Consider the following 27,318-nt stretch of genomic DNA (forward strand, 5'->3'; position numbering starts at 1 on the left):
ATGGTAACTATTATTTATAAAGCACGAGCCCAGATTTTTAATTGTTTTGCTCTTATAGTTCCCAATAAACATTGCTATTATTATCATAGGTTAATAGGAGACCACGGAGAGGCAGTGTGGTATAGCAAAATGAGCACAGGACATGGAGTCAGATCTGGATTCAAATCTTAGCTCTGCCCTTATAGGCTATGATCATAAACAAATCACGATCTGTGTGAGCCTCGGTTTCCTCTTCCATAAGATGGTGATAATAACAGTATCTTCATCCTGAGTTGTAATAATTAAATGAGATAATCCACTTAAAGAACTTGGCATTCAGTAAGCACTTAGTACATAATGCCAAAATTTGTCTCCCCACCCACCCCTCCTGAAGCCTCACTGTAGTGATCAAAATGATTGGCTAAGGATAATACAGGTACAGCCCATGGAAAAATTCTCTTAGAAGTCTAGTTTAGGCATTTTTACCTAGTTTAGATTTTGCCATTGGTAGTTTTCTGAACTTGGATCTTTTACTGTATGATCTCTTCTTACTGTGACTTCTGCATTTGCAAACCTCACCATAACCCTGCTTATTAAAATAGATGCATTTGTGGTTGATGATTATCATTGCATCTCTTTATCTGGTTAAAAGCTAAACATGTTCCTAGTCCAGAACTTCAGAATGATCCAAGGGTTCCATGAAGCCACATGGCAGACATGTATAAATCATTAGTATCTTAAGATCTAAGTAAATCACATCAATATTTAGATAGTCACCCTTCTATCTCCTGATTTGCATATTTAGTCAGCAGTAAAATACATTTTGTAAATCTCTGATGTTTCAGAAGTTGCCAGTTGCTAAAGAAAACGGTCTCACCTGATTAGACAGACTGAGGCATAGTTACCAGTTAGCCAATTCCTGCCAGTATGGGCAAGAGGACACTAATATGATGGAAACCAGGAGTCTGCAAGGCTTAGACATCTGCTTTGGTCTAGATTGTCAAGGTCTTGACCATGTCAGCAGAAGGGCAATTAACTCTAGTCATTTACCTTGTCAAGACTAGGGTCCAAATAGAAAATTTCAGTTAGAAGAATAAGTTCAATAGATCTATTGTACAACATGGCAACTATGGTTAATAACAATGTATTGTATTCTTAAAAATTGCTAAGAGAGTAGATTTTAAGTGTTCTCACCACAAAATAATAAGTATGTGAGGTAATGCATATGTTAATTAGCTCAATTTAGCCACATTCCCAAATTCGTACATATTTCAAAACATGTTATATATGACAAATACATATAATTATGATATTTCAACTTAAAATCAATCAATCAATGTTAAACAAAACTCCATTAATGAATACTTCAGAGAATGACACCGGTCAGTGAGCATCTATCCTCCTACAGCAGTAGAGATGTGTATGCAAGTGTATGGTAGACACACCTGGCAGTGAAATTAAACTTAAGCATAACCTGAGAATTACCCTATATGGCAGATGCACCTGAGTGTGAGTTCTGAGCTGAGGAATCCAGAAATGGCCAACTGGGAGATACGTTCCTTGCCTGTATATCCAGGAGGAACATCTGAACCCCTGGCCATCCAGTGGAATGCAGAAGGGAGTGAGGCCCTTTGTTTTGGGTTAAATGAAATTTGCTGGATGGAAGTTGTTAGGGGGAGGGTGCTAAGTGAATATCTTATATAAACTGATTGCTTTTTGTAAGCCGTTGTGGTTGTCCTGCCCAGCCCGCCACCACTGGACTTTCCCTGTATGTAAGGTGGTTCTCCTGTCCAGTCCAGCACCACCGGACCATCCCTGCATATAAGTTTCCTGCTAATGAAACCCTATGTCTCATTTGCTGGCTCTGGGTCTCTTCTTTGGCCTCTTGAACCCAGCACCATCCCTGTTGAAGTTAATAGGAGTCTGGTATGACAGCAAGTACCTACAATGCAAAGCAATAACTTATTAAGTACCATGTGGGTGGTACAGACCCTACATCTTACGGGGGCTATGAGGAAGGAGAAACATATCAGACTCTCCAAGAGCAGGTGCACTTTGGAAAAACATTTAAGATACCTACAGATTTTGTAATACAAATATAAAACAAATAAAGATCTATAATATTAATATAATATTGGCTGGAACCAATATGTGAATGATAGACTAAGAAAGCATGGTTAGGGTTGTGAGTTGAAACAGGTCAAGAATTTGACAGCCATTCTACCCAGTCAACAGATTTTTGTTAAGACACTGTTCTTGGCACTAGGGAGACAGCAGTGAACAAGGTAGATGACACCTATCTTGGGCAAGATAGTTAAACTCTCTACATCTCAGGGTCATCCTTAAAATGGGAAGAACATTCATTATTCCTACCTCATGGAGTTGGTGTGAGGATTAAAGGAGGGCAAAGAGTATAAAGTGTTTTGCATTATGTTCTTCAGAGTAGACACATCATAAATGAAATAATTAGCCTGCTGGGGAGAATAAGTGGTTCATCAGCTTGGCTGTGAAGATGTATATGGTTTTGATAGGCAGAGACAAAAGGAAGATATATAAGTAGAGAGAACAGCATTAATTAAGTCACACAAAGAAACTTTTTGACATTGGCATTCATAGACATATTTCATTTACATGAATTCAGCTATACACACTAGGAGAAAATTGTTTAAGTAGTACAGGCAAATTATCCCACCATTATATTCAGTTAATATATACCCTGGGTTGAGTGTGAGACGAAAGGCACGAATTTGTTCTTTCGTCTCACAGTGTGAACACCTCACTTTGCTGAACGTCATTCTTTTGTTTAGATACATATTTTGCATGTAGTGTGGTCAGCCACGAGTGCAAGCCAGTTACTTAATCTGAGGGTCAAACAAGAGGAACAACCCAGTCATCTGCTCTTGCACTGGAGGAGAAGCTGGCAGTGCTGAACGTTCTGAGAAAAGAATGTCATTCTTCAATGTCGCACCTTCCTAAGGCATTACGCAAAGTCATTTGACCAGATGATTTTCATTTTACATGTTGATTTTAGGATGTATCTTGTGTTTAAGGAATGACTTCACTACGTGTGTCAGGAATCGTGCCAGATGCTGGTGATACAGTGATTTCAAAAAACCTGTCAATGTACAAATCTATGTCCAGTAAAAAATCTTGTAAACATAAAGGCAAATTGTGTTGCCAGCGTATCTAATCTATGAAAATGCTAAGGAAAATCTGTGAAAATGATAAAACAAGATGGAAATTCAGACATAAGGTAATAAATGAAGAGCACTGGAAATTCTAAATAGGTAGTAAAATATAACACATTTTTTCCTTTAAAATTTTAAAGGGCAATTGAATGTTGAAATCATGTAATAACAGCAACATATTTGAGGTGTTATATCATAAGTAAAAGTAAAACATAAAACATAAAACAATGATAGCACTAAAAGCAGGAAGGGTGTAAACATCATGACATAATTTTACTATTATTATACATAAATGGTATATTATTTGTTTGTTATAACTTCGACTTTTATTTTACATTCGGGGGAACATGTGCAGGTTTATTACATGGCTATAGCACATGAGGCTCAGGTTTAGGGTATGATTGTTCCCATCATCCAGGTAGAGGGCATACTACCCAGTAGTTAGTTTTTCAGCAGTTGCCCTTCTCCCTCACCCTCTAGTGGTCCTCAGTATCTACTGTTGCCATTTTTATGTTCATGAGTACCCAATGTTTAGCTCCCACTTGTGAGATCACGTGGCATTTGGTTTTCTGTTCCTGCATTAATTCACTTAGGATAATGGCCTCCAGCTGCCTCCATGTTGCTGCAAAGGATATGATTTTACTCTTTTTTATGGTTGTATAGTATTCCATGGCATATGTGTACCACATTTTCTTGATCCAATCCACCATTGATGAGCACCTAGGTTGATTCCACCTCTTTGCTATTGTGAATGGTGCTGTGATAAACATTTGAGTGCATATGCTTTTTGGTAGTATAATTGCTGGGTTGAATGGTAGTTCTGTATTAAGTTCTCTGAGAAATCTCCAAAATTATTCCACAGTAGCTAAACTAATTTACACTCCCACCAACAATGTATACGCATTCTCTTTTCTCCACAGCCTACCAGCAACACGATAATAGTGGGGGAACTCAGTACTCCACTGACAGTACTAGACATGCCATCAAAGCAGAAAATCAGCAAAGAAACAATGGACTTAAACAATACACTAGAAAAAGTGGACTTAACAGATATTTAGAAAACATTCTACCTAAGAACTGCAGATAATATGTTATTTTCATCAGCATATAAAACATTCTCCAAGATAGACCATACAGTAGATCACAAAACAAGTCTCAATAAATTTAAGAAAATCAGAATTATATCAAGTATCCTATCAGACCACAATGGAATAAAATTGGAAATTAACTCCAAAAGGAATCCTCAAAACTATAAAAATACATGGAAATTAAATAATCTACTCCTGAATGATCTTTGGGTCAACAATGAAATCAAGATGGAAATTTAAAATTTCATTAAACTGAATGATAATGGTGACACAACTTATCAAAACATCTGAGATACAGCAAAAGCAGTGCTAAGAGGAAAGTTCATAGCATTAAATGTCTACATCAAAAAATCTGAAAGAGCACAAATAGACGATCTAAGGTCACACCTCAAGGAACTAGAGAAACAAGAACAAGCCAAACCCAAACCCAGCAGAAGAAAAGAAATAATAAAGATCAGAGCATAACTACATGAAATTTAAACAAAAAGAAAAATACAAAAGATAAATGAAACAAAAAGTTGATTTGAAGAGATAAACAAAATTAATAGATCATTAGTGAGATTAGCCAAGAAGAGAAGAGAAAATCCCAATAAGCTCAATTAGAAATGAAACAAGAGGTATTATAACTGGTGCCACAGAAATACAAAAGATCATTCAAGGCTACTATGAAAACCTTTATGTGCACAAACTAGAAAATCTAGAGGAGGTGGACAAATTTATAACCCTCCTAGATTAAATCAGGAAGAAATAGAAACTCTCACATGCAAGAACACCCACAGGCTCAAAATAAAGGGATGGAGGAAATCTACGAAGCAAATGGAAACCAGAAAAAAGCAGGGCTCACAATCTCAGACAAAACAGACTTTAAACTAGCATATGAGATGGGTCTCTTGAAGACAGCATACCTACCATCAGGTCTTGCTTCTTTATCCAGCTTGCGACTCTGTGACTTTTAACTGGAGCATTTAGCCTCTTTATACTCAAGGTTAGTATCGATATGTGTGGATTTGATCCTGTCATCATGTTGTTAGCTGGTTATAATGCCAACTTGTTCGTGTGGTTGCTTTACAGTGTCAGTGGCCCGTGTACTTAAGTGTTTTTGTAGTGGCTGGTAATGGTCTTTCCTTTCCATATTTATTGCTTCTTTCAGGAGCTCTAAAAAGGCGGGTCTGGTGGTAACAAATTCCCTCAGCATTTGCTTGTCCAAAAAGGATCTTATTTCTCATTTGCTTATGAAGTTTAGTTTGGCTGTATATGAAATTCTCTGTTGGAATTTCTTTTCTATAAGAATGTTAAATAGAGGCCCCCAATCTCTTTTGGCTTGAAAGGTTTCTGCTGAGAGGTCTGCTGTTAGTCTGATGGGCTTCCCTCTGTAGCTGACCTGGCGTTTCTCTCCAGCTGTCTTTAACAGTTTTTTTCTTTCATCTGATCTTGGAGAATCTGATAATTATGTCTTGGAGATGATCTTCTAGTGAAGTATCTTGCTAAAGTTCTCTGTATTAGCTTAATTTTAATGTTGGCCTCTCTAACTAGGTTGCAGAATTTCTCATGGATGATAACCTGAAATAAGTTTTCCAAATTGTTTCCATTCTCCCTATCTCTTTCAGGGATGCCAATGAGTTACAGATTTGGTCTGTTTACATAATCCCATATTTCTCAGAGGTTTTTTTCCATTCCTTTCCATTCTTGTTTTTTTATTTTTCTCTGACTGTCATTTCAGAAAGGCAGTCTTCACGCTCTAAGATTCTTTCCTCGGCTTGGTCTATTCTGCTGTTAATACTTACAATTGCATTATGAAATTCTTGTAGTGTGTTTTTCAGCTGAATCAGTCAGTTATGTTCCTTTCAATACTGGCTATTTTGTCTGTCAGCTCCTGCATCATTTTATTGTGATTCTTAGCTTTCTTGAATTGGGTTTCAATGTTCTCCTGAATCTTGATGATCTTTGTTCCTATCAATATTCTGAATGCTATTTCTGTCATTTCAGTCATTTCCATCTCTTTAAGAAACATTGCTGGGGAACTAATGTGGTCGTTTGGAGGAAAGAAGACACTCTGGCTTTTTGAAATGTCACACTTTTGGCAATTGCTCTTTCTCATCTTTGTGGGCTGATTTTCCTTCAATCTTTGAAGTTGCTATTTTTGGATTTTTTTCCACCTTTTATGCTATTTCATGACCTTAGGGGTTTGATTGTGGCATAAGTTTTTTCAATCAACTGGATTCATTTCTGGACGATTTTAGGGGGCTAAGACTTAGCTCAGGACTCCTAGACTGCATGTCCTAACTCTGGAGGACTAGTATCAGGCCCTGGCTTTGTTCTCTGGCCACTTAAGTTTAGGAACTTGCTGCACTAGAGGGGCCAAGGTGCTCCTAGAGCACTAGTCACAACAGTCCAATGGGCGGTGCCAACCAAAGTACTTCCTAGGGCAGTGGCAGCATGATTTATCTTTATTCGCCCATGGCAGGAGTGGCATCAGTGGCAGCATGATAAGGTGTCCACTTTTCAGCTGCAGTGAGGTGCTAGCAGGTGCCAGGATGCTGGTTGTCATGTGGGCATTTGCAGCAGCAGCATTGGCAGCGTGTCGTGGGGAAGCAGGGGGCCCCACTGGCATCTTTGTGTATGTTTGTGCTGGTGACAGTTTTAGCATAGTGGTGGGGCCCTGGTGGCCACAGGACTGTGTGAGCTCTTTGTGTGTGTTTATGGGTGGCGGTGGCTGCTCAGGGCCAGGGCAGGTCTCTGTTCTCTTTGCCTAGTTTCTGGCAGCAGCAGCGTCAACACAGGGGCAGGGTGCTGGTGGCAGGTAAGGCTAAGGGGCTCCATGCCCTCCAAAACTTCGATGGGAATGGCAGGGGCTGGCAGAAGTGGCATGGCAGGGTGCACATCTGCCTGTGCACACACATGCCAGCAAAGTGATTTGGGAGGTGGCCATGGGCTAGTATCTGCAGGCAAGGTACCACTGGGGAGGCTGCAGTGGAAGGAGAGAATGTGCAGGCTGATATGTGTCTGTGGAGGCTGCTCTGCTGGAGCTCTCTGCTTGTCAGGTGTGGTCTGCCAGCACAGGAGCTATGATGCAGGCCACCAAGAGGAACACCCCTTTTGGGCACCGGAGGCTGCACTGCAAGCACCCAGGGAGAGTCCAGCAGGCTGAGGGGTGTTCAGGTTGGACCAGTCCCATCTCATGGCCAAGACCACCCTGCAGAGTTCATGTGTGACAATTCCTCTAGGGCTAAGTCTCCTATAGGAGTAAGTTGAGCCTAAGGGAATGGGTGTCCCTGGCTGTGCTCCACTACAGATGCTCCTGCATGAAACCCTCTGGGCTCCACACTGGCTGGAACTCTGCCCTGACCACTTCTGTAAGCAGCCGTCTTTGACAACTCAAGTGTCCACAGTGGTCATGGGGACTCCTCTGGCCAGGATTCCAAAGGCCCATGGTTAGAGCAGGTTGCTCTTTGCTTCTTCAACTCACCCCTTCCCCAGGAGTTGTTGGGGGCTAGGAATGAGTCCTGGTGCATGGTAGCCCCGTGCAGGGTTCCCAGCTTCCTCCTTCTTTGGCCCGACATCTGTGTCTTCCCTACAACCGCTCTCAATGCCTTCCCTTTGAAGATCTGCTAAGAGTGCACCAGTCTTCCCAATGTCCCAATCCCTCAGTGGCAGATGTTCCCCCTGGCTGTGTCTAGTTGACCATCTTGATCACAGGTCTACTTTGCTCTCATAAACCCTGATAAAGCCTTGTTCCCAGTAGCCTCACAATGAGATGGAGAAGCCTCAGAGAACGCACCAATGTGGTTACTCCAGGGTGACAGAGGCGTGACTCACTTCAATTTTTGTTGTTGTCACAATTGCTTTTGAGGATCTAGCTATAAATTCTCTCCCAAGGCTGATGTCCAGAGTTGTGTTTCCTAGGTTTTCTTCTAGGATTCTTAAAGTTTGAAGTCTTACATTTAAATCTTTAATCCACCTTGAGTTACTTTTTTATATGGTGAAAGGTAGGGGTCCAGTTTTATTCTTCTGCATATGTCTAGCCAGCTATCCCAGCACCATTTATTGAAGACTGCTGTTTCCTCACTGCTAACTTTTATTGACTTTGTCAAAGATCAGATGGCTGTTGGTGTGTGGGTTTATTTCTCAGCTCTCTATTCTGTTCCATTGGTTTATGTGTGTTTTTGTACCGCTATCATGCTGTTTTGGTCACTGTAGCTTTGTAGTATAGTTTGAAGTCAGGTAGTGTGATGCCTCCAGCTTTGTTCTTTTTGCCTAGAAGTCCTTTGACTATTCTGGCTCTTTTTGGTTCCATATGAATTTTAGAATAGTTTCTTCCCAATTCTGTGAAAAGTGATGTTGGTCGTTTCACAGGAATAACGTCGAAATCTGTAGACTGCTTTGGGCAGTATGTCCATTTGAATGATATTGATTCTTCCAATTCATGAGCAAGGAATGTTTTTCCATTTGTTTGTGTCATCTACAACTTCTTTCAGCAGTGTTTTGTACATCTCCTTGTAGAGCTCTTTCATCTCCTTGGTTAGATGTATTCCTAGGTAATTTTTTTGTGGCTATTGTAAATGGGATTACTTCTTGATTTGGCTGTCAGCTTGACCATTATTTGTGTATAGAAATGGTACTGATTTTTTACAATGATTTTTGTATCCTGGAACTTTACTGAAGTCATTTATCAGTTCCAGGAGCCTTTTGGTGGACTCTTTAGGGTTTTTTAGGTATAGAATCATATTGTCTGTTTAGAGAGATAGCTTGACTTCTCTTTCTATTTGGATGCCTTTTTTTTCTTTCTCTTGCTGACTGATCTGGCTAGAACTTCCATTAATTCTGTGTTGAATGTAACAAGATAAGGATGCATATTGTAATCCACACAACAAATAAAAAATAATAATATAAAAAGCTATTATTAAAAAGCCAATGGAGAAAACAGAATAAAATACAAAAAAAAAAAAAAACTCTCAACCCAAATGAAGACACAAAAGAAGGATATGTATATAACAAATAACAGAGAGACCAAATAGAAAACAAAAAGAAAGTGGGTACACTTAAACACAGCCATGTCAATAATCCCACTAAATACACATGTATTAAACACTCCAACAAAAGACAGAGGTTGATGAACTTGATTTAAAAATCAATATCCAATTATATGCTCTTAACAAATAATGCACTTAAAATACAAAACACAGCTAGGTTGAAAGTACCAGGATGGAGGAGATATGCAATGCAAACAGTAGATGAGTATGGAAGAAATAACGGAGCTTCAAAATACATGAAGCAAAATTTTACAAAGTTAAAAGAGAAATAGATAAATCCATAATCACAGCTGTAAATTTAAAATCTCTTCTATTAATTATTGACAAATGAAGCAGACAAATAAATTAGTAAGGATATATGTAGTATTTGAAAACTCCTATCAACCAAATTTGACCGACACCAAGGTAAACCAAATTCTGGGTCATAAAATGAGTTTCTATATATTTTAAAATATTTAAATAGTGAAATATGTTCTCTGACCACAAAGAAATTAAATCAGAAACCAATAGCAAAAACATATCTAGAAGATCCCCAATACTTGGAAATTAGGGACATTCTTCTAAACAATTCATGGTTTAAAAAGAAATTAGAAGTGAAATTAAAGATATATCAAACTGCACAAGAAAACACAATATATCAAATTTTGTGAGATGCAGCTTAAGCAGTCCTAAGTGGAAAATTTATAGCTTTATTTTTATATTAGAAAAGAAGAATGGTTTGAAGTGAATAATATAGGATTTCACCTGAAGGGGCTACAAATTACATTGAAATTGAATAGAAAAAATAAAATAGTAAAGATAAGGAACAGAAATAATTGAAATAGAAAAAGCCAAAATGATAGACAGAAATCAAGGAAGCTGAAGATAGTTTTTAAAGGAATAAAATTCATAAAAGCCTAGCTAAAAGTAATCAAGAAAAAAAACACAAAACATAAGTTACCAATTTCAGAAATTATAGAGGTTGCATCGCTACACATGCTACACGCATTTCAAAACTATGAAGGGAATATTATGTACAACTTTATGCCAACAAATTTGACAATTTAGATGCAATGGAAAAAGTCTTTGAAAAACAATTTTCCAAAATAACATTAGACTGGACTTTTTGAATAGTGTAAATACCAAAGTTAATTCAAAACATAATAGCTTCTCAAAAGGAAAGTTTCAGGAATGGATGTCTTCACGGATGACTACTACCAAATACTTAAGGAGGAAACAATACCAATTTTAAACAAATTGAACATTACAAAACATTGCAGACATAAATTAAACACCTAAATAAATGAAGAGATATACGTTCAGAAATTGAAGGTCACAAAGTTGTTAAGATTTCAATTCTCCCTATATTGATTTATAAATTCAACACCGTCACAATGAAATCATAACAGGCTTTGACATTAATAGAAATGCTGATTCTAAAATTTTTAAGAACGTAGGGAGTGTAAATTAGTTCAACCATTGTGGAAGACAGTGTGGGGATTCCTCAAGGATCTAGAACTAGAAATACCATTTGACCCAGCCATCCCGTTACTGGGTAAGGATTATGAATCATGCTACTATAAAGACACATGCACACGTATGTTTATTGCGGCACTATTCACAATAGCAAAGACTTGGAACCAACCCAAATGTCCAACAATGATAGACTGGATTAAGAAAATGTGGCACATATACACCATGGAATACTATGCAGCCATAAAAAGGATGAGTTCATATCCTTTGTAGGGACATGGATGAAGCTGGAAACCATCATTCTGAGCAAACTATCACAAGGACAGAAAACCAAACACTGCATGTTCTCACTCATAGATGGGAATTGAACAATGAGAACACTTGGACACAGGGTGGGGAGCATCACACACTGGGGCCTGTTGGGGGGTCGGGGGCTAGGGGAGGGATAGCATTAGGAGATATACCTAATGTAAATGACGAGTTAATGGGTGCAGCAAACCAACATGGCACATGTATACCTATGTATCAAACCTGCACGTTGTGCACTTGTACCCTAGAACTTAAAAGCATAATAATAATAAAAAAGAATGTATGAGGGACCTAGAATAGCTGAAATGATCTTGTAAAAGAAGAGCAAAGTTGAATGAGCTGGGCTACCTAATTTTATGTCTTAGCATAAAATTGTGACATGACATGAAATTAATCATGACAATGTGGTTTTGGCATAAGGATAGGCAAATAGATCAATGGAGCAGAATAGATGAGGAGTTGGCAATCTCTTTTTCTAAAAGGACAGATAGCAAATACTTTATGTGGTGCAGGCTATACAATCTCTGTCGCAACTACTCTGTTGTAGTGTGAAAGCAGCCATAGCTGATAGTTAAATTAGTGTATCTGTGTTCTAGTAAAGTTTTATGAACAATGAAATTTCAATTTCACATAATTTTTACATCATAAAATATTCTTTTGCTTTTTTTCTCAACCATTTAGAAATGTGAACCCTTTGTCAGATGAGTAGGTTGCAAAAATTTTCTCCCATTTTGTAGGTTGCCTGTTCACTCTGATGGTAGTTTCTTTTGCTGTGCAGAAGCTCTTTAGTTTAATTAGATCCCATTTGTCAATTTTGGCTTTTGTTGCCATTGCTTTTGGTGTTTTAGACATGAAGTCCTTGCCCATGCCTATGTCCTGAATGGTAATGCCTAGGTTTTCTTCTAGGGTTTTTATGGTTTTAGAAGGGGAACATCACACTCTGGGGACTGTTGTGGGGTGGGGGGAGGGGGGAGGGATAGCACTGGGAGATATACCTAATGCTAGATGACGAGTTAGTGGGTGCAGCACACCAGCATGGCACATGTATACGTATGTAACTAACCTGCACAATGTGCACATGTACCCTAAAACTTAAAGTATAATAATAAATAAATAAATAAATAAAAATGCAGGAAAAAAAATATTATCATGAAAAAAAAAAAAGAAATGTGAACCAAAAAAAAAAAAAACCAAAAACACCTGTCTTAGTTTACAAACCATACCAAAACAGATACAAATGGAAATTTGTTTGAGGGAAGTGGATTGATTCATATTTTGACTGAGAATTAAATAAGGCCACTGTACCTTGGAGGGATTTTAGATAAGACATCTAAAATAGTAGGTCATGGTAAAGGGTGGGAGAGAACAGAATGAACCACTGAATGGGGGTGGCTGTAGGGAATGCCTTTAAGGAAACACCTTCTCCCTGCTATGTGACCCACCAGAATTGAACATGGGGAAATGATGAGGGTAGCAGGTCATTTTGAAATGGACCTTCGGGTAGTATTTGGGGTGGAAAAATCCCCTTTCTCCAACCACATTTTGGCCACCCCAGCAACACCACCCCCACAGAGGTATCAGCGCTTTGTGATGTCCAAGCCACCCCAAGACTACCATTGGATGGGGTGCCCCATTCTGACCAAACAAAGCTGAAGGGTAGGGCTCCTCATTACCCAGGGGTGGGTATACATAAGGAGGTCAGGAGCATAGGGTAGATTGTTGGGAGGCTTAAATATGGCTAAGGAGACCCACACACCAGTGAAGCCTAAAGAAAATATGAAACAACCAATTCTAAGCACGAAAAAGCCTACCCCAAGAACCAAAGAGAAGAAGGAAAAGAAGAACTCTTCTCAACAAAAGACCAACAAAAATGGCAAGGTCAGATGATCCTATCCTTGTTCCTTCTTTTCTTCCCCCTCTATTCTCTCAAGACCCCTATCCTGTCCTTGCCTAGCACAACCCCCTTCCTCAGCCTGCACTCCTATTCATAAAGCTCCCCTTCCTATACAACCTCTTTCTCTTCCCCTAAACCAATGTCCTTCTAGCTCACTGTGTTGTGCTTCCAGGTGGAGAAGAAAATCATAAAGGTTAAAAAACCCCTTCAAAGGATTTCAAGAAAAAAAACTCAATCACCTCCTTCCTGCTCCAAAAAGCCTAGGATAACAATGAGACCAACAATATTTGTGTGTCACCACAAGCAGAATAAGACACAACATAAAAATCGGAAGAGCAAGCACAAAAGACAACAGAAAATGAAAATCAGAAGAGCAAGCCCAGAAGCCGCTGGCAAAAGCAAACCATCCCAAGTAACCATCTCTGCTGCCAGTAAATGCAGAGCCTGGATCAGAAACGTACAACTAGCAACAGCAACTCTGGGGAATCACCAATCACATAAAGGCCAAAGCTGAGACCAATAGTGTTCCACCCATGCTGATGAATGCAATAAAATCAGCACAATGTAAAAGGATGATGTGGATGTTTGTCTGTAGTGGGGAGGGGGTTAAGGAAGAAAAACTGCTAAGAGGGAGAGAGGCAGGGTCCTGTAAGGTTGGGGGCCAGACCAACAGGTATACAGTTAGCCATCGGGGGATAAGGAGTGGGTGAGGACTAAGAAATGAAGACAAATCAACACTTTGCCCCACAGACAAGAAGAAAAAGGGCTTTGGCGTTTCTACATGTACTTAGGGTAGGTGTGGGTAGCAACATCAAGGTCTAAATTCCCAGAACCCAGTTAGGAGGAGGGTTTTATGTGTGATGTGTGTGGCAATAACACACCCCACAAAAAGAAAATAAAACCACCTCCAGGTCACCCATGTCATAGTGGTGTATGTTGTACCCCACACTATGCTATAAGCAAGTAAAGGCCCTCAGGAGGACCCAAAACTCATCCTATCAGGAGTCACTTTCAGCACCCTGATAGACAAATAGTAGAGTTTGGAGGCCACAAACCCAGCACTAATTAGGCCACTTTCTTGTTAAGTAGCTTAGGATGGAGCAGTGTCCTACCAAGTGTGGGGGCAGTGGCAGAGGTCTGCCCACTTGCTGGCCATAAAGAAAAACATTGTCTGCAGAGAATTTTAATATAAGAATAATAAAACCCAGGAAAAGTCAGTCTTTTACTTACTAGCAGCAGATACAAGTTTTCAATTTTTCTCTCCCCAAATCCTCTTTTGGTCTGAGTTGTGAAAGATTGCTGTGGTTAAATTTAAGCTTGAATAAAATCAATGTAAGGTGCAAATTAGCTGATTTTTAATATTTATGTTTTAATAATCATTTTATTCTACAGGGAAGTTAATTTGGATAAATCCTTATTAAATAGTTGGTCCGAGACATAGGCTGTTCCTTTCTAAAGTAAGCTCTTAACAATTTGGAATTGTTTTGATGCAGGACAGGCAAGCCCCACACTTGGGGCTTAGGTGGGAGGGTTCTTGGCTTCACTCAGGAAAGAATTCAAAGGCAAGCCAGTGGTGTTAAACAGCAACTTTAATTGAAGCAGAAGTGTAGAGAGCAGCAGAGGTACTGCTCCTGCTCCTTGCAGAGCAGGGCTGCCCCATACGCAGTGTCCCCAGAGTAGCAGCTCAGAGGCAGTTCTGCACTCATATTGATTCCCACTTTTAATTATATTCAAATTAAGGAGCAATTTATGCAGAAATTTCTAGGATGAGGGTGGTAACTTCCAGGTTGTCAGGTCATTGCCATGGAAAGAGGCAGTAACTCCTGGGTGTTGCCATGGCAACGGTAAATTGACATGCCACATTGCTAGACAAGGCTTAAGGAAAGCTGCTTCTGCCCTAGACCTGGTTTAGCTAGTCCTCAATTGGGTCTGCTGTCCAAGCCCCGCCTCTGGAGTCAAGTCCTGCCTCCTACCTCAGTTTGAGCTTGCTTTGAGCATACTTCCAGACTGCAGTCCCTGTGGTAATATATGACACATATGTCTACACTTTAAAAGTACACGAAATTAAAAATTATAGCATGTGATTATAAAGGCAAAGAACAACCACCTCAGCTCTGTGATTCTGTGTAATCACTTGCTTTTATTGGTGTCTAAATCGGTGAAACGAAGTGTTAAATTTAAGGAGTAAAATTTGGGGGGATAAAGACATTTTTATTACATTTGAAAATAAAATATTTTACTGAATTTGAACAATATACTCAAGCATGAAATGTATTCTTTAATTGCTCATTAATACTACATAAAAATCAAAATGCTAAAATTTTATATCAGTTGCATATTTTAGTAGTTGCCTACATTTTACTTTTGCTTAATTTTCTTAAAATTGCCTTATGATTTTTACTATGACAACTATATGCAAAATGTTTTATAGAGAAAATTTACACTTTATTTTCTTTCTGGTTATAATTATTTGTGTTAATTCATGTGTATTACTAAAAATATTCTGTTGAGGTAGCGGCGTTAAAAATATACCTCACAACTCAGTGTATATACTAAAAATCATTCAATTATGCACATTTATTAAGTGGTTGTACATTAAATGAATGAATTGTATGTCATGTAATTATAGCTCAATTAAATTGGCTGTGTGTGTGTGTGTGAGTGTGTGTGTATGTGTGTGTGTGTGTATCCAGGTGAGAAGTATATTAATTGTGTCATGGAGGGAAATATTTTTTATGTAAAATCTCTCATAATTTGGCCCCAGTCTCTGGTATTTTTGTTTTTCTTTTTTTCTTTTTGTTTTAAACAGCTCTATTGAGGAATAATTAACCTACAAAAAAATTGCATGTTTAAAGTATGCAATTTGATCAGTTTCCACATACATAGACTTCTGGTAAACCAACACCTCAATTAAAATACTGAACATATTCATTCGTAATCTCCAAATGCTCAAAACTGGAGACAACCCAAATGGCCATTAATAGATTAAATAATAAACAAATTGTTGTATATTCATACAATGGAATACTACTCAGCAATAAAAAGCGAATGAACTAAGAATACACATAATGACATGCATGAATCTCAAAATAATTATGCTGAGAGAAAGAAACCAAACAAAACAAAGTGTTTACTATATGATTCCATTTATATAATATTTTAGAAATTACAAAGTAATCCATAGTGATAAAGAAAATCATTAGTTGCCTGGAGACAAATTTGAGTCGAGGTGGAAGGAGTAGAAAGGAGCGATTACAAAGGAGCACACAGAAACTTTTGGGAATAATGGATATATTCATTACCTTAAGTGTGGAGATGGTTTCATAGATGATTATGTACGTCAAACCTTTTCAGTTTGTACACTTTATTTATTTATTTTTTGAGACAGGGTCTCACTGTGTTGCCCAGGCTGGAATGCAGTGGTGTGATCTGGGCTCACTGCAGACTTGACCTCCCAGGCTCCGGCAATCCTCCCACCTCAGCCTCCCTAGTAGCTGGGGCTGTAGGCACACATCACCATACCTGACTAATTTTTTTTTCATTTTTTGTAGAGAGGAGGTCTCACTATGTTGCCCAGGCTGGTCTTGAACTCCTGGGCTCAAGGGATCCTCCTACCTTGGCCTCCCACAGTGCTGGGATTATAGGCATGAGCCACTGTTCCCGGCTGTACACTTTAAATATATGCATTTTACTTCATGTCGACTATACCTAAATAAAGGGTTCTTAAGCTATTGTTATTCTAGAGAGATAAGGGCAGATAATTACATTTACAAAACAAAAACAGAATGGACAACTATTATATACCCATCATAACTAAAAATAATAAATAAATAAGCAATAAGATCCCCAAACCAGGATGGTTTCCAAATGTAATAATAGAACAAAAACTAGTTCTTGAAAATTAAAAAATATAACAACTAAATTTAAATATTAATTAAAAACTCAGGCAACCACGATTAAATTCCAAAAACATTATTTTAAATAAAAGAAATATACTCTATAATTTTTCTGAAGCTTGAGAACAGTCAAAACAATATGTGGCAATAAATATCAGAATACTGTTTACCTTTGGGTTTGATATTGACTGGAAAATGGGCATGAGGAAATATTCTGAAGTGATGAAAATATTCTATATCTTGATATGTGTGGGGGTTACATGACTGGGTATATACATATGTAAAAGTTCATCTAGTTATACATTGAAATTTGTGCATACCTCAATTTCAGAAATTGAATACTAATGCTGAAATACAAAGTGAAGAAATTCCCTATGAAGTAGAATAAAAGAAAAATAAATAAGAGCAAAAATATAACTTCAGAAAGTCAATCCAAAAGATCTAACATCTGAATAATAGGGATTCCAGAAAGAGAAAACAAAGAAAATAAAGAACGTGAAATTATCATTTAGTAATATATAAAATTTCCGTAGAACTGAGGTACTGGAGTCTCCATTTGGACTAAAAGAACCCAATGAGTGTCCACCAAAAGGAATGAATATATACATATTATCATCTGAAATTTCAGAATTTTGTGATAAATAAATTATCCTGAATGCTGTCTCAGAGAAAAAAAGTCAAATATCACACATGAAGGAATGAAAATGAAAATTGCATTTCACTTCTTTATAGCAATACTGGATGCTAGAAGATACTGGAAGAATGTCTTAATATATTATTTATGGAAAATAAATTTTTTCTTAGGATTTTATACTGAGCCAAACTATGTTTCCAATGTTATGACAGAATAAATACATTTTTAGATATGCAGGCTTTCAAAATATTTACCTCCAATTCATTCTGTTCTGGTTACATAAAAACCACCCTAAGTCATAGTTGCTTAAAAAAACAACAATAATTTTGTTGTTGTTGTTAATGACTCTGAAATTCGAGTAGGTCTAAATGGCGAAGGCTGGGCTCGTGTTTCAAGTGGTATCAGTTAGGGTGTCTCAATTGAGACTTGAAAGGCCCACTTCAAGATTGCTCACTCATGTGTCTGGCAGTTAATATTGGCTGCTGGCTGAGAGTTTAGACAGAATTGAGAGCTGGAGTCCTTGATTCTCTCCACATAGACCTCTACCTGTGACCTGTGATTCTTCATAGCATGGTGGCTGGGTTCAAAGGTTGAGGATTCTGAGAGAAAGCCAGGTTGAAACTACTGATTTTTATGGCCTAGACTTGGAAACCACACGGCATCATTTCTGTCATGCTCTGTTAGTCAAGGTATGCTCAATGGTCTGCCCAGGTTGAAGAGGAGGGAACACAGAGTCTACCTCTGCACAGAGAAGTGGCAAGATTCTGGAGAAATATGTTGGACAGAACATATCTCTGTGGCAATTCTTGGGAAATAAAATATAGAGTTTACTGCACACCCTTTCTTAGGCAACTATTGGAGAGTGGGCTACACTCAAATGGGAGTGTAGGCCCAAAAAGTAGATGTGGATCTAAGCAATCAAGAATTCAACACAAGAGAGATGCAAAGAAAATCTCTAGGATGAGCTGGGCGCCATGGCTCATGCCGCAATCCCAGCACTTTGGGAGACCAAGGCAGGTGGATTACTTGTGGTCAGGAGTTTGAGACCAGCCTGGCCGACAGGGTGAAACCATGTCTACTAAAAATACAAAAATGAGCCAGGCATGGTGGCAGGTGCTTATAATCCCAGCTAACCGCGAGGCTGAGGCAGAAGAATCACTTGAGTCCGGGAGGTGGAGGTTGCAGTAAGCCGAGATCTTGCCACTGCACTCCAGCCTGGGAGACAGAGCGAGACTCTGTCTCAAAAAAAAAAAAAAAATCTCTAGGATGATGGTAAAAAGAGATCTCTAGATCACAGCTGTTCAGCAGGCCTAGAGCAATGAGTTCAGATTCCAGCAGTCCTGAAAGTTCTGGGAGAGATTTCTTCAAGAAGATGAAATTGCCAGGAGGAGAATTTGGGGTTGTTTTGGTGGTAAGTACACAGAAAATCAAGTAAGTTTTAAAAATGCTAGGGAAAAATGTGAAGGAGATGGAAAATAATCATAATGTACTTCATGACTAAGTTGACTATTGTGTCTACATAATCATAATAATGTTAACATTGAATATTGATCTAAAAGTGTAACTATATTGAGAGCATATGGATGGGTCGTGGGATGTGTGTGTAAGAGAGAAGCAGAGAGAGAGAGAGACAGGTACAGAGGCTAACTCCTATCTCCCATAACGTAAACTCAATCTAAAAAATGCTTCAAGCTGTAAACCCAAGCCCTTTTCATGCAAGCATGGAATTTGGAGAAGTAGCTGTAAATAGAAATATAATCAGCTCAAAGAACTAACTGAAAGTGGTTGCATCTGGGGAGCAGAATACAAGAAAGGACTGTTGCTTTTCTTTTCTTTTCTTTTTTTTTTTTTGCCATCACGGGGCCAGAATTTCTCTTAAAAAAAAATTATTTAACTTTAAGTTCTGGGATACATGTGGAGAACGGACTGTTGCTTTTCTTAACAGGTCTTATAGATCTAGTTGTCTCTTTAAACTACATGTGTATATTTATTTAATAAAAAATAAAACTAATTTTATTTATTTTTTATTTTTTTAAATTTATTTATTTATTATATTATACTTTAAGTTCTAGTGTACATGTGCACAATGTGCAGGTTTGTTACATATGTATACATGTGCCCTGTTGGTGTGCTGCACCCATTAACTCGTCATTTACATTAGGTATGTCTCCTAATGCTATCCCTCCCCCCTCCCCCAACCCCACGACAGGCCACAGTGTATGATGTTCCCCACGCTGTGTCCAAGTGTTCTCATTGTTCAATTCCCACCTATGAGTGAGAACATGCGATGTTTGGTTTTCTGTCCTTGCGATAGTTTGCTCAGAATGATGGTTTCCAGCTTCATCCATGTCCTTACAAAGGACATGAACTCATCCGTTTTTATGGCTGCGTAGCATTCCATGGTGTATATGTGCCACATTTTCTTAATCCAGTCTATCATTGTTGGACATTTGGGTTGGTTCCAAGTCTTTGCTATTGTGAATAGTGCCACAATAAACATACGTGTGCATGTGTCTTTATAGCAGCATGATTTATAATACTTTGGGTATATGCTCAGTAATGCGATTGCTGCGTCAAATGGTATTTCTGGTTCTAGATCCTTGAGGAATCACCACACTGTCTTCCACAATGGTTGAAGTAGTTGACAGTCCCACCAACAGTGTAAAAGTGTTCCTACTTCTCCACGTCCTCTCCAGCACCTGTTGTTTCCTGACTTTTTAATGATTGCCATTCTAACAGGTGTGAGATGGTATCTCATTGTGGTTTTGATTTGCATTTCTCTGATGGCCAGGGATGATGAGCATTTTTTCATGTGTTTTTTGGCTGCATAAATGTCTTCTTTTGAGAAGTGTCTGCTCATATCCTTCGCCCACTTTTTGATGGGGTTGTTTGATTTTTTCTTGTAAATTTGTTTAATTTCCTGTAGATTCTGGATATTAGCCCTTTGTCAGATGGAGAGATTGCAAAATTTTTCTCCCATTCTGTAGGTTGCCTGTTCACTCTGATGGTAGTTTCTTTTGCTGTGCAGAAGCTCTTTAGTTTAATTAGATCCCATTTGTCAATTTTGGCTTTTGTTGCCATTGCTTTTAGTATTTTAGTCATGAAGTCCTTGCTCATGCCTATGTCCTGATGGGTATTGCCTAGGTTTTCTTCTAGGGTTTTAATGGTTTTAGGTCTAACATTTAACTCTTTAATCCATCTTGAATTAATTTTTGTATAAGGTGTAAGGAAGGGATCCAGTTTCAGCTTTCTACATATGGCTAGCCAGTTTTCCCAGCACCATTTATTAAATAGGGAATCCTTTCCCCATTTCTTGTTTTTGTCAGGTTTGTCAAAGATCAGATAGTTGTAGATGTGTGGCATTATTTCTGAGGCCTCTGTTCTGTTCCATTGGTCTATATCTCTGTTTTGGTACCAGTACTATGCTGTTTTGGTTACTGTAGCCTTGTAATATAGTTTGAAGTCAGGTAGCATGATGCCTCCAGCTTTGTTCTTTTGGCTTAGGATTGTCTTGGCAATGTGGGCTCTTTTTTCATTCCATATAAAACTAATTTTAAAAAGATATTCCTCCTCCAAATCAGTCCATTAATTGCAGTAGTCTTCCTTTCTTTTCTTTTCTTTTCTTTTTTTTTTTTTTTGAGACAGGATCTCACTCCCATTGCCCAGGCTGAAGTGCAGTGGTGCAATCATGGCTCACTGCAGCCTCAAATTCTCAGGCTCAGGGGACTCTCCCACCTCAGCCTCCTGACTAGCTGGAACTACAGGCATGCACCACCATGCCTGGCTACTTTTTTTTGTATGTTTTTAGTAGAGACAGGGTTTCGCCATGTTGCCCAGGCTGATCTCTAATGCCTGGGTTCAAGTGATCCGACTGCCTTGGCCTCCCAAAGTGCTGGGATTAGAGGCGTGAGCCACCACGCCCGGCCTAATTGCAGTAGTCTTCTAAACTTCCTGCTGAGGCCATGGGCAAAGCCGGGCTTTTGTAAAAAATCATTTCCCTTGACGATAAGGCTGTGGCATTTTTTTTTTTTTCAGTACTTACCGCTTCCACGGTACTTAGCGTTCCTGCCAATAAAAGAAGGTGGGGGGTAATAAGAGATGTTCAACTTCATTAGTAATGGGAAAAATAAATGCAAATTAAAACAATAATAGGTTGGATCAGGAGATATAACACTGCAGTGGTTAAAATCATGGGCATTGGAACCAGGCTGCCTCTATTCAAATGCAAGCTCTATTGCTTGTAGCTGTGTGACCTTGGACATGTTGCTTTAGTTCTCTTAGCTTCAGTTTTCACATCTGTAAAAAGGAGTTTATACAGTATTTTCTTCCTATGGTTGTTGTGAGGATACAACGAATTAATACGTACAAAGTGCTCAGAACAGAGAAAATACTTTGCAAAGTAATCTGGCAAATCTAGTAAACTGGAAAATGCTTATACTTTGTGGCCCAGCAATTCAATTCCTAAGTGTCTCCCCGAGCAAAACTCTCAGAAGTGGGCACAAAGGGACATGCCACGAGAGCATTTTCTCCAGTACTCTTTGTAATAGCAAAATATAAAATTGAAATTAAAAAGTGGAAACAACCTAATTATCTCTCAGTTGATGAATGGGTAATTAAGCTGTGATTTACTTATACAGTAGAATGCTACGTAACTGTTAAAATGAATGAACTAGAGTGAATACTACAGCAACATTAATCAGCATGAATAAGTTTTTAAAAACAATATTGCATAGAAAAAATGAAGAAAAAGAGCAAACATACACTATTCAATTTTAAAAATTGTAAGAATACTTGAAATACTTTTTTTTTTTTGAGATGGAGTGTCACTCTGTCACCCAGCCTGGAGTGCAGTGGCGCAGTCTTGGCTCACTGCAAACTCCGCCTCCCGGGTTCAAGTGATTCTCCTGCCTCAGCCTCCTGAGTAGCTGTGATTATAGATGTCCGCCACCATGCCTGGCTAATTTTTTGTATTTTTAATAGATACAGGTTTCGCCGTGTTGGCCAGGCTGGTCTTGAACTTCTGACCTCTAGTGATCTGCCCACCTCGGCCTCTGAAAGAGCTGGGATTACAGGCGTGAGCCTCTGTGCCCGGCTGAAATAATTGCTTATATTCATACATAAGTACAAATATATGCACAAAAGTGATGCATGACAACTGCAGGACAGTGTTTACCCAAGGAGAGATATGGATGAAGAGGTCATGGGTTGTAGAGTTTTGCTGTATTTGTAATACATTATTTATTAGAGAGAGCTGAAGCAAATGAAGCAAAATGGTAGCGTCCAGTTAATTGCATGGTGATTATAGGTGGCTGTTTTATCATTTTATCAAGTGCAACTTACAATTAATCTGTAGATTTAACTTCTATAAAATATGATTAATAAACTGAAAAACATTATACAAACGTTAGACCACTATCGTTATTCATATGTCATTATTCAGGCAATATATGAACATGCAGGGCAAAGATAATGCTTAAGTTGAGAAACAGCCAAGGTGTAATGCTGGTAGACTGTCCTAGCGTTCTAAATTCCAATGAGTTTATTTTTATTTATTTATTTTTTTTGAGACGGAGTCTCACTCTGTCACCCAGGCTGGAGTTCAGTGGCGTGATCTCAGCTCACTGCAACCTCCGCCTCCTGGGTTCAAGCGATTCTCCTGCCTCAGCCTCCCCAGTAGCTGGGATTACAGGCGCCCTCCACCACGCCCAGCTAACTTTTGTATTTTTAGTAGAGACGGGGTTTTACCATGTTGGCCAGGCTGGTCTCAAACTCCTGACCTCAGGTGATCTGGCTTCCTTGGCCTCCCAAAGTGCTAGAATTACAGGCGTGAGCCACCAGGCCCAGCCTGACTTTATTCTTTGGGTCACTCATGAATAGTGAAGACTGATTAACAAAAAATAAAATGATTCCCACCTACTGCTGGAAGTAGCAATGGAGAAAACTTGAAGAAGACCAAACACTGATAAAATTTCCCATCCTTAAAGTCTGGCTAGCTCTCTCCTCCACTGAGAACCCTTCACTGATCATCCTCCTCCCCAGTCAGAATCCACCTTCTTAGGCTCCTGCAGCATTTCATCACAAGCAGTGTTCTCATTAGCTTTCCATGAATTTATCTTCCCCAATAAACTGTGAAACTGAGAGCAGAGAATATCTCTATTTCACTTCTTATATTCCCTGCTGGGAATATCCTTTCTTACCCACTCGTCAAGCCTCAGGTCCAGAAAACCCTTTCCTGATTCCCCCAATTTGGGTTAATGCTCTTCCTCTGTGCCTCCATAGTACCCTAAGCCAATTTCTGCTGCAGTGTGTGTCACACCATATTACTGTCATTCCCTGTTTACCTGACACTCCATAGAGACTGTGAGCTCCTTGACTCAGGGACTGTGTCCCCGCAGTGTTCAACAAAGGACTGGCCTATAGAGGGATTGCAATGATTGCATACTTAAATCAAGAAAACGTACCAATTCTGCAATTAAGTCTTATATATGCATAGCAGATGCTCTGGCTTGATTGTAGTCGAAGAATAGCTGGTGTGGAGGATTGAGTTCTAATTGTCATTATTAATCTCATTGTGAGCATAGAAGCACCGTAAAAACACCAAAACCTAGCTGAGAGTATATACAGGAGTGACACTTTTCAAATGGGCATAATTAACAAGGGAGTGTAACAATTTTGTGATGGCCTTTTATGTTCATTTTTCCCAAGCCCCATCTGATCACCTTTTTAGTAGTAATATATGGAATATAGTAGCTTGGTTTTTTTGTTTTTGTTTTTGTTTTTCGTGTTTTTTTTTTTGACACGGAGTCTCACTCTATTGCCCAGGCTGGAGTACAGTGGCGTGACCTCAGCTCACTGCAACCTCTGCCTCCTGAGTTCAAGTGATTCTCGTGCCTCAGCCTCCCGAGTAGATGGGATTACAGGTGCATGCTACCATGCCTGGCTAATTATTGTGTTTTTAGTAGAGGTGGTGTTTCACCATGTTGGCCAGGCTGGTCTTGAACTCCTGACGTCAAGTGATCTGCCCACCTCAGCCTCCCAAAGTGCTGGGATTACAAGTGTGAGCCACCGCGCCCTGGCTATAGTAGTTTGTTAAACTAAATACCATTCTGTTAGCTTTTTATTTATTTGTTTTTTTGAGACAGGGTCTCACTCTGTCATATAGGCTGGAGTGTAGTGGCACAGTGATGACTCACTGTAGCCTTGACCTCCCAGACTCAGGTGATCCTCCCACCTCAGCCTCCCGAATATCTGTGAATACAGGCACATGCCACCACACTCAGCTAATTTTTGTATTTTTTGTGGAGATGAGGTTTTGCCGTTTTGCCCAGGCTGGTCTCAAAGTCCTAAGCTCAAGTGATTTGCCTGCCTGAACCTCACAAAGTACTGGGATTACAGACGTGAGCCACCATGCCCAGCCCCCATTCTGTTAGCTTTATAATAACATTAACTAACATTTGTTAAGCACTCACTAAGTTTAAACCAAGATTGATAAACAGTTATTCACGTGTAATTCTTCCCAAAGTATCTTAGCAGTACTATTATTACTCTATGTTATAGGTGAAGAAACTGAGGCTCAGAAAGATGAAGTAACCTGCCCAAAATCACTCAGCACTTAAACCTGGGTAAGTTGACTACAAAATCAATCTTCTTAAACATCTCGACAATATTTCATTTCCTTTTTAAGACATCGTGGTTGCCATTTAGGATGGCCTCCTGTGATTCCTACATCCAGGTATTCATTCCCCTTGAATGTGGGCTGGTTTGTGACTTATTTCTAACTAAGAGTATCTGGTGCTGGCCGGGTGTGCTGGCTCATGCCTGTAATCCCAGCACTTTGGGAGGCCAAGTCGGATGGATCACTTGAGGTAAGGAGTTCGAAAGCAGCCTGGCCAACATGGTGAAACCCTGTCTCTACTAAAAATACAAAAATAAGCCAGGCGTGGTGGCATGCACCTGTAATCCCAGCTACTTGTGAAGCTGAGGCAGGAGAATCGCTTAAACCCAGGAGGCCAAGGTTGGAGTGAGCCGAGGTTGCGCCACTGCACTCTAGTCTGGGTGACAGAGCGAGACCCTGTATCAAAAAAAAAAAAAAAAAAAAAAGAGTATATGGTGCAGGTGATGAGTTATCACTTCTGTGATTAAGTTACAAGAGATGGTAATCTCTGTTTTTCCAGCACACTTGCTACCTTATTGGCTTTGAAAAAGCAAGTTGTCTTGTTGAGGAGGACACTGTGGCAAGGATCTTGGGGCAGCCCCTGGCCCATAGCCAGATAGAAACTGAGGCCTTTGGTTTTACAAACCACAAGGAACTGAATTTTCCCAACAACTACATGAGACTGGAAGCAAATCCTTCCCCAGCCAACCTTCAGAAGAGAATCAAGCTCTGGTTAACACATTGATTGTAGCGTCATTAGAGACCCTGAAGCAGAAGATCCTGTTAAGCAGCGGCCAGATTCCTGACCTACAAAAACTGTCAGATGATAAATGGGTATTGTTTTAGGCTGTGAAATTGTGGCAATTTATTGTGCATCAATAGATTACTGATACAACCATTAAAGATACTGCTACAACTAAGTTATATAAATTATGTGTATTAATATATAAATATTGCAAACACATGAGTTTACTATGTGTCATGCACTATTCTAAGTACATGTATTTACTCCCAACTATCATATGAGGTAGGTACCACTATTGCCTCCATTTTCTAGATGAGAAAATAGAGGTATAGATGTTGTCAGTAACTTGGTCACACATCTAGACAATGGTGGAACTTAGATTTTTATCCAGGTATTCTGGCATTGAGAGTCTCACTCCTTAACCACTCTTATATTGAATCCAATATAATAATTTCTGAAAAAGATTCACGAGAGAATGTGGCCATTAAAACTTAATTTATTAACATTTATTTATTTTAATTTGTGCAAATATATAGGGTACATAAATTTTGTTACATGTATATAATACATAGCGACCAAGTCATGGTATTCGGAGTATCCATCACCCAACTACAATACATTTTTGTTAAGTATAGTCATCCTATTCTATTAGTAAACACTGAATTTATCCCTTCTATCTTACTGTATGTTTGTATCCTTTAACCCACTTCTCTTTACCCTTCCCCTCCCCCAACACATCCTTCCCAGTCTCTGTTATCTAATTTTTCACTCTCTACCTCCATGTGTTCCAATTTTATAGCTCTCATATATGAGTGAGAACATTAGCATTTATTTTGAAAGCATACTATCTTTTTTTAAAAAAAATTATACTTTAAGTTCTGGGATACATGTGCAGAATGTGCAGGTTTGTTACATAGGTATACACGTGCCATGGTGGCTTCGTGCACCCATCAAGCCATCATCTACATTAGGTATTTCTCCTAATGCTATCCCTCCCTTGGCCCCCAAACCCCCAACAGGTCCTGGTGTGTGATGTTCCCCTCCCTGTGTCCATGTGTTCTCATTGTTCAACTCCCACTTATGAGTGAGAACATGCGGTGTTTGGTTTTCTGTTCCTGTGTTAGTTTGCTGAGGATGATGGTTTCCAGCTTCATCCATGTCCCTGCAAAGGACATGAACTCATCCTTTTTTATGGCTGCATAGTATTCCATAGTGTATATGTGCCACATTTTCTTTATCCAGTCTATCATTGATGGGCCTTTGGGTTGGTTCCAAGTCTTTGCTATTGTGAACAGTGCTGCAATAAACATACGTGTGCATGTGCCTTTATAGTAGCATGATTTATAATCCTTTGGGTATATACCCAGTAATGGGATTGCTGGGTCAAATGGTATTTCTGGTTTTAGATCCTTGAGGAATCACCACACTGTCTTCCACAATGGTTGAACT

The 27,318-nt window shown here is 39.1% G+C and overlaps 1 long non-coding RNA gene across 1 annotated transcript; it reads left to right on the forward strand.

Moving 5' to 3' along the window:
* Positions 1-12,734: 12,734 nt before the first annotated feature.
* On the forward strand, positions 12,735-13,504 carry LOC728660 (uncharacterized). Its single transcript, NR_148935.1, has 2 exons — positions 12,735-12,924; positions 13,113-13,504. It is a non-coding gene; the product is annotated as an uncharacterized LOC728660 (long non-coding RNA).
* Positions 13,505-27,318: the final 13,814 nt, after the last annotated feature.

Source organism: Homo sapiens, chromosome X, assembly GCF_000001405.40.
Source record: "Homo sapiens chromosome X, GRCh38.p14 Primary Assembly".
In the NCBI taxonomy this organism is placed as follows: Eukaryota; Metazoa; Chordata; class Mammalia; order Primates; family Hominidae; genus Homo; species Homo sapiens.